This window comes from Homo sapiens, chromosome X, assembly GCF_000001405.40.
Source record: "Homo sapiens chromosome X, GRCh38.p14 Primary Assembly".
NCBI classification, from domain to species: Eukaryota; Metazoa; Chordata; class Mammalia; order Primates; family Hominidae; genus Homo; species Homo sapiens.
Window position 1 is genome coordinate 23,869,339 of NC_000023.11, and position 15,013 is coordinate 23,884,351.

At 42.9% G+C, this 15,013-nt stretch overlaps 1 protein-coding gene across 7 annotated transcripts in view, besides 1 other annotated feature; it reads right to left on the reverse strand.

The window, feature by feature from the left end:
* APOO (apolipoprotein O) overlaps positions 1–15,013 on the reverse strand; it is a 74,586-nt gene that overhangs the window by 35,986 nt on the left and 23,587 nt on the right. For 4 of the 7 annotated variants that reach the window (NM_024122.5, XM_017029837.2, XM_011545586.3 and 1 more), the window contains exons 2-4: positions 11,507–11,614; positions 9,577–9,696; positions 5,065–5,119 (exon numbers count right to left, since the gene is read on the reverse strand). In NM_024122.5, coding sequence (NP_077027.1) covers positions 5,065–5,119; positions 9,577–9,696; positions 11,507–11,614 — 283 coding nt within the window. The remainder of the gene's footprint in view (positions 1–5,064; positions 5,120–9,576; positions 9,697–11,506; positions 11,615–15,013) is intronic. The other 3 variants (XM_011545587.4, XM_024452447.2, NR_026545.4) reach the window with 2 other exon arrangements.
* Positions 13,481–14,247: an enhancer, noted in NCBI's record as "H3K27ac-H3K4me1 hESC enhancer chrX:23900936-23901702 (GRCh37/hg19 assembly coordinates)". NCBI's record gives its function as "activates a minimal SCP1, AML or CMV promoter by ChIP-STARR-seq in naive H9 embryonic stem cells {active_cell/tissue: H9 hESC(naive)}" and the evidence as "EXISTENCE:reporter gene assay evidence [ECO:0000049][PMID:30033119]".

Below are 15,013 nucleotides of genomic sequence, written 5' to 3' on the forward strand. Positions count from 1 at the left end.
AGGGATCCTTTGCTATTCAAACTCTTGTTATGGAAACACAAAAACAGAATAGATTTGGATAAATCTTTGGATAGATCTATTGCTATCTGAAGCTTTGCTGCTTGCTCTCTGAAACTCAGGAACCAAAAACAAGCTGTGAGTGGTGGCTCATTCCTATAAACTCAGCACTTTCCAAGGCTAAGGCAGAAGAATCATTTGAGCCCAGGAGTTCAAGGCTGCGGTGAGCTAGGATTGAGCCACTGCACTCCAGCCTGACAGCCTGACAGCCTGAGCCACAGAGCAAGACACAGCCTCTTAAAAAGAAAAAAAAAAAAAAAAAAAAAAAAAGGAAGGCCAGGTGCGGTGGCTCACTCCTGTAATCCCAGCACTTTGGGAGGCCGAGGAGGGCGGATCACGAGGTCAGGAGTTCGAGACCAGCCTGACCAACATGGTAAAACCCCATCTCTACTAAAAATACAAAAAAATTAGCTGGGCGTGGTGGCACGCTCCTGTAATCCCAGCTACTCAGGAGGCTGAGGCAGGAGAATCATTTGAACCCGAGAGGTGGAGGTTGCAGTGAGCCAAGATCGCGCCACTGCACTCCAGCATGGGTGACAGAGCGAGACTCCTTCTCAAAAAAAAAAAAAAGAAAGAAATCAAATACATTAGACTCAGAAAAATAAGCATCCTTTGCCATCTGAACTCATTACTCGAACAGAAGAACAGAATAAATTTGGATAATAAAGGAAACTTGTAATTTCACTCAGAAAATAGCCACTGTTGATCGCTGTTGATGGTGATAGAATAAAAATAAATACAACATGTGACCTATTCATCATGACTGAACATGCCTTCTGACTTCATTCACATAATGCCTCGTCTCCTCTCCACTGAGCCAATCCCACCTCATAAAAGCCAAGTTGAGTCCTACTTCCACACAAAAGCCTTTCCTAAGCTCATCAGTTCACACCTCTCTCCCTCCTCTAAAGTCCCATCATATTTATTCTCTGTACCATCACTTGGTACCTAATCCTATAGTACCCTGTGTTTAATTATTCAGGTGTATATCTGGTGTCTCCCCAAGGAGAATGTAAGCTCCTTAATGATAGATTGCTTACACTTCTGTGTTATCTTCCCTCAGTGGTAATAATGGATGTTCATTCAATAGATATTTATTAAGAATGATGGCTGGGTGTAGTGGTTCACGCCTGTAATCCCAGCACTTTGGGAGGCCAAGGTGGGAGGATTGCTTGAGTCCAGGAGTTCAAGAACAGCCTGGGCAACATGGCGAAACCCTGTCTCTACAAAAAATTAAAAAAAAAAATTAGCCAGGTGTGGTGATGCATGTCTGTGGTCCCAGCTACTTGGGAGGCTGAGGTGGGAGGATTGCTTGAGTCCAGGAAGTCAAGACTGCAATGAGCTATGATCATGCCACTACACTCCAGCCTAGGTGACTGAATGAGACCCTGTCTCCAAACAAAAACAAAAACAGGCCAGGCGCAGTGGTTCACGCCTGTAATCCCAGCACTTTGGGAGGCCGATGCAGGCAGATCACAAGGTCAGGAATTCGAGACCAGCTTGACCAACATGGTGAAACCCCGTCTCTACTAAAAATACAAAAATTAGCCAGGCGTGGTGGCGTGTGCCTGTAATCCCAGCTACTCAGGAGGCTGAGGCAGGAGAATCGCTTGAACCTGGGAGGCAGAGGTTGCAGTGAGCCGAGATCACACCATTGCACTCCAGCCTGGGCAACAGAGCGAGACTCTGTCTCAAAAAACAAAAAAACAAAAAAACAAAAATCACACTGCCAGGAGTTGATAAATACTGGATGTATTCCATCCTGGCTAACATGGTGAAACCCCAACTCTACTAAAAATACCAAAAAAAAAAAAAAAATTAGCCAGGTGTGGTGGCAGGCGCCTGTAGTCCCAGCTACTCGGGAGGCTGAGGCAGGAGAATGGCGTAAACCCAGGAGGCGGAGCTTGTAGTGAGCCGAGACCGCGCCACTGCACTCCAGCCTGTGCGACAGAGCAAGACTCCGTCTCAAAAAAAAAAAAAAAAAAATACTGGATGAATTAACAAATGAATTTTAGCTAGGTCATGACTTACACAAAGCCCTCATGTCTCCTTCTCAATCTCATCTTCAGCACTCCCTATCTACTTAGGGTTCCTCAAACATCCAATACCAAGTCACACCTCTAAGCCTGATCATGCTGGGCCCAGTGTGCAATGCCTGCTTCCAGCAGTCCCACCCCCACATTTTGGAGTGGCTAACACTGCTCCTTCAAGATTCACTTCAGAAGTCCTTCCCTGACTGCTCCCACCTCCTCGATTTCAATTAAACTAATCTCCTTCCTCTGTACCTTCAATAATGGTCTGTGATTATCTCTGTATTTGCACTAGTACTGAATAATATATTACACGCATCTCAGTGGTTGTGACCACTGTCTTAACCAATCTCAATTTTCGAGGCCTGGCAGAATGGTGACTTAAAAAATATATACAGAACTGAACTAATAAACTGGAAAACTCAGCAATTCTGTCCCCTAAGTAATACCAGATACACGCCAGTTTTCCTTTTCCTGGGTTCTTTGGGAAATGTGATCATTTTAAATACTACTATAGGACTTGTATTATGTTTGCATTAATTACTGTCTGGCCTGTTACTTATTTTGCCTTTAGCCTAGTTTTTACTTTCCATCCTCTAGTCTGGGTCATTTGAGGCAATTTTTTACTTCCCTTTATTTTTGCCTACTAGCCCAGTGTTGCTCAATTCTAGATGTGTACACAGAGCAGTTGACAGAGGGACACCCAGATGGCTCTGGTGAGCTGGGCCAAAGTGGGTAAATCACAAAGAAAGGGGAAAGAAGATATGTTTTAAGACTGTACGGAGTCTGGGCAAAAAAGTGAGACCCTGCCTCTACAAAAAGTGGAAAAAATGTGATGGCACATGCCTGTAATCCTAGCTACTCGGGAGGCTGAGCTGGAAGGATTGCTTGAGCCCAGGAGGTTGAGGCTGCAGTGAGCTATGATCACGCCACTGGATTCCAGCCTGGATGACAGAGAAAGATCCTGTCTCAGAAAAATTTAAACAAGAGACCTCTCAGCCACACATGGACAGATAAAAGACTATATCAGGAGTTCTCTAGTTTCCTCGGATAAAAATGAAGATAATAAGGTATCTGTCAGCTTGTTATGAGAATTTATATATATATATATATATATATAAAATTTTTGTGGGTACATAGTAGGTGTATATATTTACGGGGTAAATGAGGTATTTTGGTTCAGGCATACAATGCATAATAATCACATCAGGGTAAATGAAGTATCCTTTACCTCAAGCATTTATCATTTTTCTTTGTGTTACAAGCATCCCAATTATACTCTTTCAGTTTATTTACAATACCTAAAAGAGTATAGCTTTTTTAGTTATTTAAAATGTACAATAAGCTAGGCGCGGTGGCTCACACCTGTAATCCCAGCACTTTGGGGGGCTGAGGTGGGTGGATCGCCTGAGGTCAGGAGTTCTACACCAGCCTGACCAATATGGTGAAACCCGTCTCTACTAAAAATACAAAAAATAGGCTGGGTGTGGTGGCGTGTGCCTGCAGTCCTAGCTACTCGGGAGGCTGAGACAGGAGAATTGCTTGAACCTGGGAGGCAGAGGTTGCAGTGAGCCAAGATAGCACCACTGCACTCCAGCCTGGGCAACAGAGTGAGAATCTGTCTCAAAAAAATAAAAAATAAATAAAATAATAAAAAATAAAATGTATAATAAAGTATTATTGACTGCAGTCACCCTACTGTGCTATCAAATACTAGGTCTTATTCATTCTAACTATATTTTTGTACTCATTAACCATCCTCACTCCACCCCCAATAAATTGGTATTTGTAAAGCACTTAGAATAGTACCTGACATATAAGTCTTAAATAAGTGTTTATGAAATTAATAAAATTAAGATGTTACTTATTAACATGCCTTAATAATTTAAAGAACCAGTAGGGGGCCAGGTACGGTGGCTCACGCCTGTAATCCCAATATTTTGGGCCGAGGCGGGCAGATCACTTGAGGTCAGGAGTTTGAGACCAGCCCGGCTAACAAGGTGAAACCCTGTCTCTACTAAAAATACAAAAACTAGGTGGATGTGGTGGCACACGCTTGTAATCCTAGCTACTCGGGAAGCTAAGGTGGGAGAATCGCTTGAACCTGAGAGACAAAGGTATCAGTGAGCTGAGACTATGCCACTGCACTCTAGCCTGGGTGACAGAGTGATATTTTGTCTCAAAAAAAAAAAAACAAAAAACCAGTAGGCAGCTATTGTTATGTTTGTCTTCAAACGATAAATTTATCTGACAGTCTCAGAAATATCAGGACATCAATACACCATGGTGATCTTACCAAAGAAACTGTACTTATGTTTATTTTGTTCTATCATGGAAACAAACCCTTGTAAAAACAAGATTTTGTTTGCGAGATGCCTAATAAGGGGAATGAAATATGATCGGTATCTTTATTAATTTACCAGTTTCTGATTAAGATTAGTCAGAACATGGACTGTGAATCCAGTTTGTGAGTGTATGTGATAAGTGGCCCACAACTGAAAAATAATCAAGGAAAATAAAACCAAATGAAAAAAAAGTAAGAACACTATCAATTATGCAGTAAGACCTTTTATAGGAGTACCAACTCAGCTCCTTCCTGCTTCAAAACTTCTAGAGCATCTATTAATTGCAATGCAAATGAGCTATTCCGATTCAGAAAATCTATTGATGAATTAGTATGGTGTATTACGCTGCACCTAGAAATGAGATTTCTTTTTTTTAAAGCAGTGTATCTGTACTTGCTAGCCCAAGAATCCTAACGATCTTGAAGAGACTTACCTGACTATTTGGGGACACTAGTTGCCTGAAATCTGATGAAAACAACAGCTCCTCTTCCCAGAAAAATCCACATAGCTCTAAAATTCTGCATATAATTTTAAGGAATACACAGATTTCTTGGAGCTCATTCATGGAACTCCGATTAAAGAGTTCAATGTTAATGAAGTAGCTGATTATGCCTAATTTAAAATCAACTTACCTAACCCCCATTGAACCAAACTTTGCATCTTGGGCTTAGTTTGGGAGTACGTTTCCTAAAAAGGTAAAAAGAAACTGAATGAAACTATTCACAGGATCTGCTGATTAGAAAGTTAACAGAATAAATATACTTGTTTTTACTGAATAAATTATCATGTTATTAACGCTTTTTGAACAAAGGGATACACTGTCTGTCTGGGTCTTTTTGTTTGTTTTTCCTATTATAATCTTCCCTTCACTGCAAATTACTCAGCAGAATGGCTTACTACTGCCACAGGAAGCAGATTCCAAACAGAGTGGTTTCAACAATCCAGCCATTTCACTCTTCCATTAAAATGGAAAAAATAGACTAAAAATCAATCCCCTTGATATTTAAGTGGCAAGCTTTTCTCCATGAGATTAAACCTGTCTTTCATATTAACTACTTCCTGATCTGCCATTAATTAGAGCCTACATCTGGAAACTGCCCATTTGAAGCAAGAATGACCAGCTTTAATGAGACAAAGGCTATAGCCCAAAGCAAATGAGGTGTCAACATTCTCTTAAAAACAATAAAAAGGCTTTGTGGCCAGGCATGATGGCTCACTCCTGTAATCCCAGCACTTTGGGAGGCCGAGTGGGGCAGATCACCTGAGGTCAGGAGTTGGAGACCAGCCTGACCAACATGGTGAAACCCTGTCTCTACTAAAAATACAAAAATTAGCCGGGCGTGGTGGCACGCGCCTGTAGTCCCAGCTACTCGGGAGGCTGAGGCAGGAGAATCACTTCAATCCAGGAGGCGGAGGTTGCAGTGAGCCGAGATGGCGCCACTGCACTCCAGCCTGGGCGTGTCTCAAAAAAAAAAAAGGCTTTGTACATGAATATCACATGATCCTAAAGGAAACGAGGGACCCGCTAGAAGGTACCCACCTTCAAGAAGTCTACAGTGAAGACAAGAAGAGATACATGGGTATCAGAAGGTATCAAAACTAGTTGCCATTTGGGAAAGGATTTTTTTTTTATTTTTATTTTTATTAATTAATTTTTTTTTTTTTGAGATAGAGTTTCGCTTTTGTCGCCCAGGCTGGAGTGCAGTGGCGCGACCTCGGCTCACTGCAACCTCCGCCTCCTGGATTCAAGTGATTACTCCTGCCTCAGCCTCCCGAGTAGCTGGGATTACAGGTGCCCGCCACCACGCCCAACTAATTTTTGTATTTTTGGTAGGGACAGGGTTTCGCTATGTTGGCCAGGCTGGTCTCAAACTCCTGACCTCAGGTGATCCACCTGCCTTGGCCTCCCAAACTGCTGGGATTACAGGCGTGAGCTACTGCGCCCGGCCTGGAAAAGGATTTGTTTTGTGTAATTCAGTTCAAGTCAGAACAAGCTATCCTCATTCTTTTAAATGACCTGAAATAATAAATGCCGAATTAGCCAGAAGATCTAAAGAACTGAGTATCGCTTCATTAAAATCCATTATTTCACGCCTGTAATCCCAACACTTTGGGAGGCTAAGACAGGAGTATCTCGTGAGGTCAGGAATTTGAGAACCAGCTTGGGCAACACAGCAGAGACCCCATCTCTACAAAAAAATAAAAATATTAGGCTGGGCACGGTGGCTCACGGCTGTAATCCCAGCACTTTGGGAGGCCAAGGCAGGTGGATCACGAAGTCAGGAGATCGAGACCATCCTGGCTAACACAGTGAAACCTGGTCTCTACTAGAAATACAAAAAAATTAGCCGGGCGTGGTGGCAGGCACCTGTAGTCTCAGCTACTCGGGAGGCTGAGGCAGGAGAATGGCGTGAACCCAGAGGCGGTGCTTGCGGTGAGCCGAGATCGCGCCACTGCACTCCAGCCTGGGGGACAGAGCGAGACTCCGTCTCAAAAAAATAAAAAAAATAAAAATAAAAATAAAAATATTAGTTGGGCATGGTGGTATGTGTATGATGTCCGAGCTACTTGGGAGGCTGAGGTGGGCAGATCTCTTGAGCCCAGGAGTTCGAGATCAGCCCGGGCAACATGGTGAAACCTTGTCTCTACCAAAAAAAAAAAAAAAAAAGAAAAAACTTCAGATCAATATCTAGAATGATTGCCGACTTCTTTTGCTAGCTTAATATTTTTACTATTAAAAAAAATTAAGGCCGGGCACAGTGGGTCATGCCTGTAATCCCAGCACCTTGGGAGGCCGAGGTGGACGGATCACAAGGTCAAGAGATCAAGACCATCCTGGCCAACATGGTGAAACCCCGTCTCTACTAAAAATACAAAAATTATCTGGGCTTGGTAGCACACGCCTGTAGTCCCAGCCACTCAGGAAGCTGAGGCAGGAGAATCACCTGAACCCGGGAGGCGGAGGTTGCAGTGAGCTGAGACTGCACCACTGCACTCCAGCCTGGCAACAGAGCGAGACTCCGTCTCAAAAAAAGAAAAACAAAGAACAAAAAAACAAAATTAAATTGGTTCTTCAAGAAAAGGGCTAGAAATTGCTGGTCTGAAAAAGGAACCAGGAATTAGAAATATTTCTACTCATAAAGGCTTTGTTCTACCCAGGAAAACAAAACCATTATAATTACAAAAACTATTATAATTACAAGCAAGTTTTTATATTTAGTAGTAGTGGAAATAAACATATAGATAACTAATCCATCATCCAGAGAGGTATTTTGCTGCACTGAGTATCACGCATGGAAGAAAAGGTAAAAAACAAAAAGCAACCTTAGGCTAAAAGGTACAAAGTACTTTTATTGCCAAAAAAACCAAACAAACAAACAAAAAAAACAGACAGACTACAAGTAACAGTAGTCATGCCTACATGATACAAAAATATACACACAAATTTGCTGACTTTATCTTAACTACCAGAAGTTTAAAAATCTTCTAGAACAAGAGAATAAAGTCTAATCATTTTACAACATGTTATGTTTAAAGTCTTTAGGTATTACTTAACTCAATAATATGGTTATGATACTTAAGTATAATGGCCTAATTCTTATTGTTGATAGAGTCCATGCTTTACTATTTTCTTTCTAAATTGGTGAACAAAAGTTCAACAGCAGCATAGGCAACGGAAATTAAAAATTTTTAAACAAGCTCTGGATCAAAATTGAATTTAGGCCAGGCATGGTGGCTCACGCCTGTAATCCCAGCACTTTGGGAGGCCAAGGTGGACAGATCACTTGAGGTCAGGAGTTCGACATCAGCCTGGCCAACATGGCGAAACTCTGCCTCTACGATAAATACAAAAATGAGCCAGGCATGGTAGCTCGTGCCTGTAATCCCAGCTACTTGGGAGGCTGAGGCGGGAGAACTGCTTGAACCCGGGAGGTGGAGGTTGCAGTGAGCTGAGAGCACGCTACTGCACTCCAGCCTGGGCGACAGAGCAAGACTCCCTCTCAAAAAAAAAAAAAAACAAAAAGACTAAATTTATAAATCTCAAGCAAGGTAAATCTAGACAATTTCCCACATATCTACATCTATTAGTTTTTATTAATTTCAATTTTCAAAATCAAGATCAAGTACAACAAACATATGTATCAAAGCCTACAAAAGCATTCTATAGATTGTAAACGTTGGTTACTGATGTTAAAAATCACAGAAATACTTTTCATTTACGTAATGACAAATGCCTGACCTAAAACCCAGGCAGGGACAGAAACCAATCTGTATATGTAGTTCTTTGGTCACTAGAACAAATAGTTCAGTAATCCAGTATGGAATTCTACCCTATTTTAGTATAGCATTCAAAATGCCATATCCCCTCCTGGTTTAAGTGGCACTGATTTGTATAGTGGGGGGAGAAAAACTTCGCAATTTTTATGTAAGTGTTTACGTTGCATCTTTTTCCTTTGTTTAGAGTTCCAGCCCACAAGCCTCCCCTGGTAGACAACAATGTTTTCATAACTGCAAGCAACAAGGTAGTTCCTAGCCCCTCTGCTCTCTAGTTAAGGCGTTACGCACTGCCCAGGGAGAGGGAAATTCTCTCTGTAGCTGTGGCAACAGCTGTCACCAGGAAGCTAGGGCATCTCTGCAACCCCTCCTCAGATGGCACTGAAGAACATCTGTAAGTCAGGCACTTTTAACTTGGGGCCTTGTATTTCAACATTTTTTGTGGGTACGTAGTAGGTATATACATTTATGGGGCACATGAGATGTGTTGACACAGGCATGCAATGTGAAATAAGCACAATATGGAGAATGCGGAATCTATCCGCTCAAGCATTTATCCTTAGTGTTAAAAACAATCCAATTACACTCTTTAAGTTATTTTAAAATGTACAATTAAATTATTGTTGACTACAGTCATCCTGTTGTGCTATCAAATAGGTTTTATTCATTCTTGCTACTTGCTATTTTTTTTTTTTGCACCCATTAGCCATCCCCACCTTTCCCCCAGACCCCCACTACCCTTCCCAGCCTCTGTCAACCATCTCAGGGCCCTTTATCATGCCTTTTTCCAAAAACATGCAGCCAATACAGACTTTCCTCTATGGACTCTAAACAGAAATGCGTTCACTCCATTTTCAGAACAGTTGTACCTGACACCAGGTTGTGTATGGCTCGCAATAGTGTCGGAGCTGTGAGATGCTTTCTTCAAGCTGGCTCCTTGCCTCCTCCACATACTTCGATTGACCCTCAGGAACTGAGTAGAGTGAAAGCTGCGCACATTAAAACAAAACAAAGATTTAAAAGATGTACTGTCTACAGGATACATTTATCAAATTTGTAAGTATTTAATATAATATTTCTAGTAATTCATGAATTACAGTGACTCTGTGGTCGGGTGTGGTGGTTCACGCTTGTAATCCCAGCACTTTGAGAAGCCAGGGCAGGCGGATCACTTAAGGTCAGGAGTTCGAGACCAGCCTAGCCAACATGGCGAAACCCAGTCTCTACTAAAAATACAAAACTTAGCCAGGTGTCGCGGTAGGCGCCTGTAATCCCAGCTACTTGGGAGGCTGAGGCGGGAGAATCTCTTGAACCTGGGAGGTGGAGGTAGCAGTAAGCCAAGATTGTGCCAGTGCACTCAAGCCTAGGCAAGAGTGAGACTCCATCTCAAAAATAATAATAATAATACTTCATGAATTCCAGTGACTCTAAGGGTTACAAGCAACCTGAACTTTATCTCAAACTATCTCTGCACCTTATTTCCATAATCAACGAGGCCAAGGCCAAAAGGGCAGGGCTATGAGGTGTCCTACTTTCTCCCCACCCACTGACTACAAACAAAGCAGCTCCTCTTTATCCATTTTATATACTGGTATTTGGTATTCCACCTTAGATTGAGCTTGGAAAAAAGATTTTATTACTCTAAAGGGTGGGTGAAGGGGTTAAAAAAGCTTGAGAGTAACCAAAGGGCATGTCATTCAGTTCAAATGATTGGTCTGATGTTAATCAAAGCAGGACAGCAGGTTTATTCTCCACCCAGAGAACTTCTTACAGCCACTGCTGGCTGCCTTCTTTACCCTCAAAAATGCCACTGTGCCAAGGCCTGAGAAGCGAGTAAAGGGCAAAAGATAAGCTAATTAGCTTTATGTAAACACCAATCTAGTAACCCTACCCAGGACTGAAGGTAGATCCTTACCTCACTTTATTCAAAGGCAACAGAAACTGAATATCCAAAATAATTAGTGGGAAGTACAGACCAAAAAGGAATGTAAACAGTAGAGAGAAGATTTCTTGTTTTTTTTTTTTTTAAATTTAGTATTTATTAAGTACATACTTATGAGCGGCTCCTCTAGCCAAGAAACAGAAAGGATCCAGATCTCTAATTTCTTAGAGAGGAAAAAATGTGAATATATTCTTGGCTCGATAAGAATCAAGATAAGCCAAGAATCAGGCAGACCACTTAGAAAAGTGAGTTGTGCTTATAACCTGTTGGGACACAGTGGATTCCCCAGTAAACATTTATAAAGTATTCCTTAATTGTGCCCTTACCTAAGTATCATTAAAGTTTATCTGTTGAAAAAGCCATAGTTTAATATTTCCCACAAATTAAACAAACTATAAGGAAATATATTTTCTCTGTTTAAATGTCTTCTGGCTGGGCGTGGTGGCTCACGCTTGTAATCCCAGCACTTTGGGAGGCCGAGGCAGGTGGATCACCTGAGGTCGGGAGTTCGAGACTAGCCTGGCCAACATGGTGAAACCTTGTCTCTACTAAAAATACAAAATTAGCCAGGCGTGGTGGCACATGCCTATAATCCCAGCTACTTGGGAGGCTGAGGCAGGAGAATGGCTTGAACCAGGAGGAGGAGGTTGCAATGAGCCGAGATCGCACCATTGCACTCCAGCCTGGGCAACAAGAGCGAAACTCCGTCTCAAAATAAATAAATAAATAAATAAATAAATAAATAAATAAATGTATTTTAAACAGTCACATCTTCCTGATATACAATTTGTAAAAAATTATCCTACAGTAACTAAATCAGACACTCAAAATATATCGCAACATGAACAACATGTTACCTCATCAACCTTCACGGAATTTTTGGGAGGTGAGTCCTTTTTTGGTGCTGCATAGACTTTGAAGGTGAGCAAGCTCAGGCTGGCTGGCCCCACGGACCTCTGAATTACCTGAAATGCAGAAGCAATCTTAAACCTCTCTATGTTACAGACCGAATGTGCAGAACATGAGCATATTCATAACCTCAGCCACTCCCCACCCTGAAAGGCTTACTGTGCTTTATTTTATTTTTATTTATTTTTATGTTTTCAAGATGGAGTCTTGCTCTGTTACCCAGGCTGCGGTGTAGTGGCGTGATCTCAGCTCACTGCAACCTCCAACGCCCAGGTTCAAGCGATTCTTCTACCTCAGCCTCCCAAGTAGCTGGGATTACAGGCGTCTGCCACCACACCCGGCTAATTTTTGTATTTTTAGTAGAGATGGGGATTTGCCATGTTGGCCAGGCTGGTCTCGAACTCCCGACTTCAGGTAATTCGCCCGCCTCGGCCTCCCAAAGTGCTGAGATTACAGGTGTGAGCCAGTGCACCTGGCCTACAAAATATATTTTTTTAAAAAATCAGCCAGGCATGGTGGTGTGTGCCTGTAGTCCCAGCTACTCAGGAGACTGAGGTGGGAGAACTCTTGAGTTTGAGGCTTCAGTGAGCCATGATCATGCCACTACACTCCAGCCTGGGCAATAGAGTGAGACTCTGTTTCACACACACAAAATAATCGCTCCACTAAAAAAAAAAAAAAAAAAAAAAAAAAAAAAAGATGGGCTGAGAGGAGGAGAGTTATGGTTTATTAATTTAATTGTGAATATAAAAAATGTGCTGGACGCAGTGGCTCACGCCTGTAATCCCAGCACTTTGGAAGGCAGAGGCGGGTGGGTGGATCACCAGGTCAGGCATTCGAGACCAGCCTGGCCAACATAGTGAAATCCCGTCTCTACTAAAATTACAAAAAAAAAAAAAAAATTAGCTGGGCGTGGTGGCGGGCACCTGTAATCCCAGCTACACAGAAGGCTGAAGCAGGAGAATCACCTGCACCTGGGAGGTGGAGGTTGCAGTGAACCAAGATTGTGCCACCGCACTCCAGCCTGGGTGACAGTGCGAGACTCCACCTCAAAAAAAAAAAAAAAAAAAAAAAAAAAAATTCAGACCCCTCCTGCGAAGGCCGTGGCAGTTTTCTAGGAGGGACGTTGATCTCCTTAGGTTGTATCCTGGTGCTGCTGGTTCTGCCTAATAATTGTGATGGGCACAAACCACATGAACTAATGTCAGCACTAGCTGGCTAATCTGTATCGTGGAAGCAAAAGAAATCTGTAGCAAAACTGCATTGAAATTAAGACCTCAAGATGCACACTTAATACTTCAAGATGTATCAATTGTTTTTAAACCAGTTAAAGTAACAACCACCCTTTTTTTTCTTAATGGCTTTCAGCTCTTTATTTGCTTCTGAAATATGGGAATTTGCAGCCATACGTTTCAACAGATATTTTTGTTATATTTTAGCTGGCATTACGTTTTGTATTACAGAATAGCCTCATCTTTCACATTACAGGCACTGCAAATCTCAGTAATATGATTTCCAAGATGCTAAATCATGCCTAAATAGTTAGAGAGAAATCAATCACTCATTTATTTTCCACCTCTCCTCCATCCATTTCCTTTTGTCTCATTTGAGCAGGAAATAAACAATTATTGAGCATGCCTTGTGTGTTAGGCACAGCCATAGAAATAGGAATATGGAGTAAGACATATCCTCACCCTGAAAGGGCTTCCATTCTGGTAGGAAGAACTTGATAGATGTAAATAAATGGACAAACTTTTTTTTTTTTTTTTACACAGGGTCTCACACTGTTGCCTAGGTTGGAGTGCAGCAGCAGGATTTCTGCTGCACTGCAACCTTCCCATCCCAGGTTCAAGCACTCCTCCTGTCTTGTCTCCCAAATAGCTGGGACTACAGGCATGCACCACCATGTCCAGCTCATTTTTGTAATTTTTGTAGAGACAGGGTTTTGCCATGTTGCCCAGGCTGGTCTCAAACTCCTGGATTCAAACGATCCACCCACCGCGGCCTCCCAAAGTGCTGGGATTATAGGTGTGAACCACTGCACTTGGCCTGGGACAGATTAAAAAATAAAATAAGGGAGGCTGAGGCACAAGAATCGCTTGAACCCAGGAGGTGGAGATTGCAGTGAGCCAAGATACTGCCACTGCACTCCAGCCTGGGCAACAGAGCGAGACCCTGTCTCAAAAAGTAAATAAATAAAAGAAAAGTGATACGGGAGGGGCAGGCAGGGAAATGCTGGGTAGAGAAGGGCGTGGTCCCTGGCTAGGGCTCCACCCCTGGGCCTGTGCCCACCAACCTAGGTGAGGACAGGCATTTCTGTTTTTGTGCCCAAATATCGTATTTCCCAAGACCACCCTGGCCCACCACACTCCCATCTTGTGCCTATAAAAACCCCGAGACCCTAGCGGGCAGGCACACAAGCGGCTGGACGTCAAGAGAAGCAGAGGCAAGGAACAACATACCAGCAGAAGAACACAGTGACAGACTCCGGCAGGCCACCAACAGCAGAACGGCAGGACAACGCGGAGTTTGGCTGAGGGCGGTCAGAGGAGAGCCTGGCTGCTAAGCGGCCTGACTCCAGGGGAAAACCACCTTCCCACTCCATACCCCTTCTGGCTCCGTTTCCATCTGCTGAGTGCTACTTCCACCATTCAATAAAACCTTGCACTCATCCTCCAAGCCCACGTGTGATCCGGTTTTTCTGGTATACTCAGGCAAGAACCCTAGGATACAGAAAGCCCTCTGTCCTTGCAATAAGGCAGAGGGTCTAACTGAGCTGATGAACACAAGCTGCCTACTGACAGCAAAACTAAAAGAGCACACGTAACACACGCCCACTGGGGCTGCAGAAGCTGTAAACATCCACCCCTAGACGCTGCCATGGGGTTGGAGCCCACACTCCCCACGACCTGCCCATCTGCCTGCTTTCCCTAGGGGTTTTGAGCAGTGGGGCACCTAAGAAGTGGGCCACACTCCCATCACATGCCCTGTAAGAGGGACAAGGGAAATTCCCCTTGTTTCAAAAGCATGAATTCTCCCGGCTCTTAGGCAGTTCTACAGAAAGACAAAACAAGTATAGGACATTATAGACAGAGGAATCAGCATGTGTGAAGCCACGAAGCTGGGAAACAGCATGGGAGAAGTGTAGGGAGTTCGAGTTTTGTGGGAGGGAGCAGAGTGACAGAGAGATGAGTCAGAGAAGTTGGTTGTAGCCAGATCATAATGGGACTCGTGTGGCTCACATAAAAGTCCTAGGTAATAAATACCAAAAGATCTCAAATAAGGATGGAATATAGAATCGAGTTTGCCATTTAGAAAGACGATTATTTCTCAGTGTGGCGCTTTAAGTCATTAAAGGGCCAGCTGACCAGTTATGGTGCTGCTAAAACAATGAAGGAAAGAAATAAGGGCCCAAGGAAAGATTGCACAGGAGAGGAGAAAGAGGAGAAAGTAGA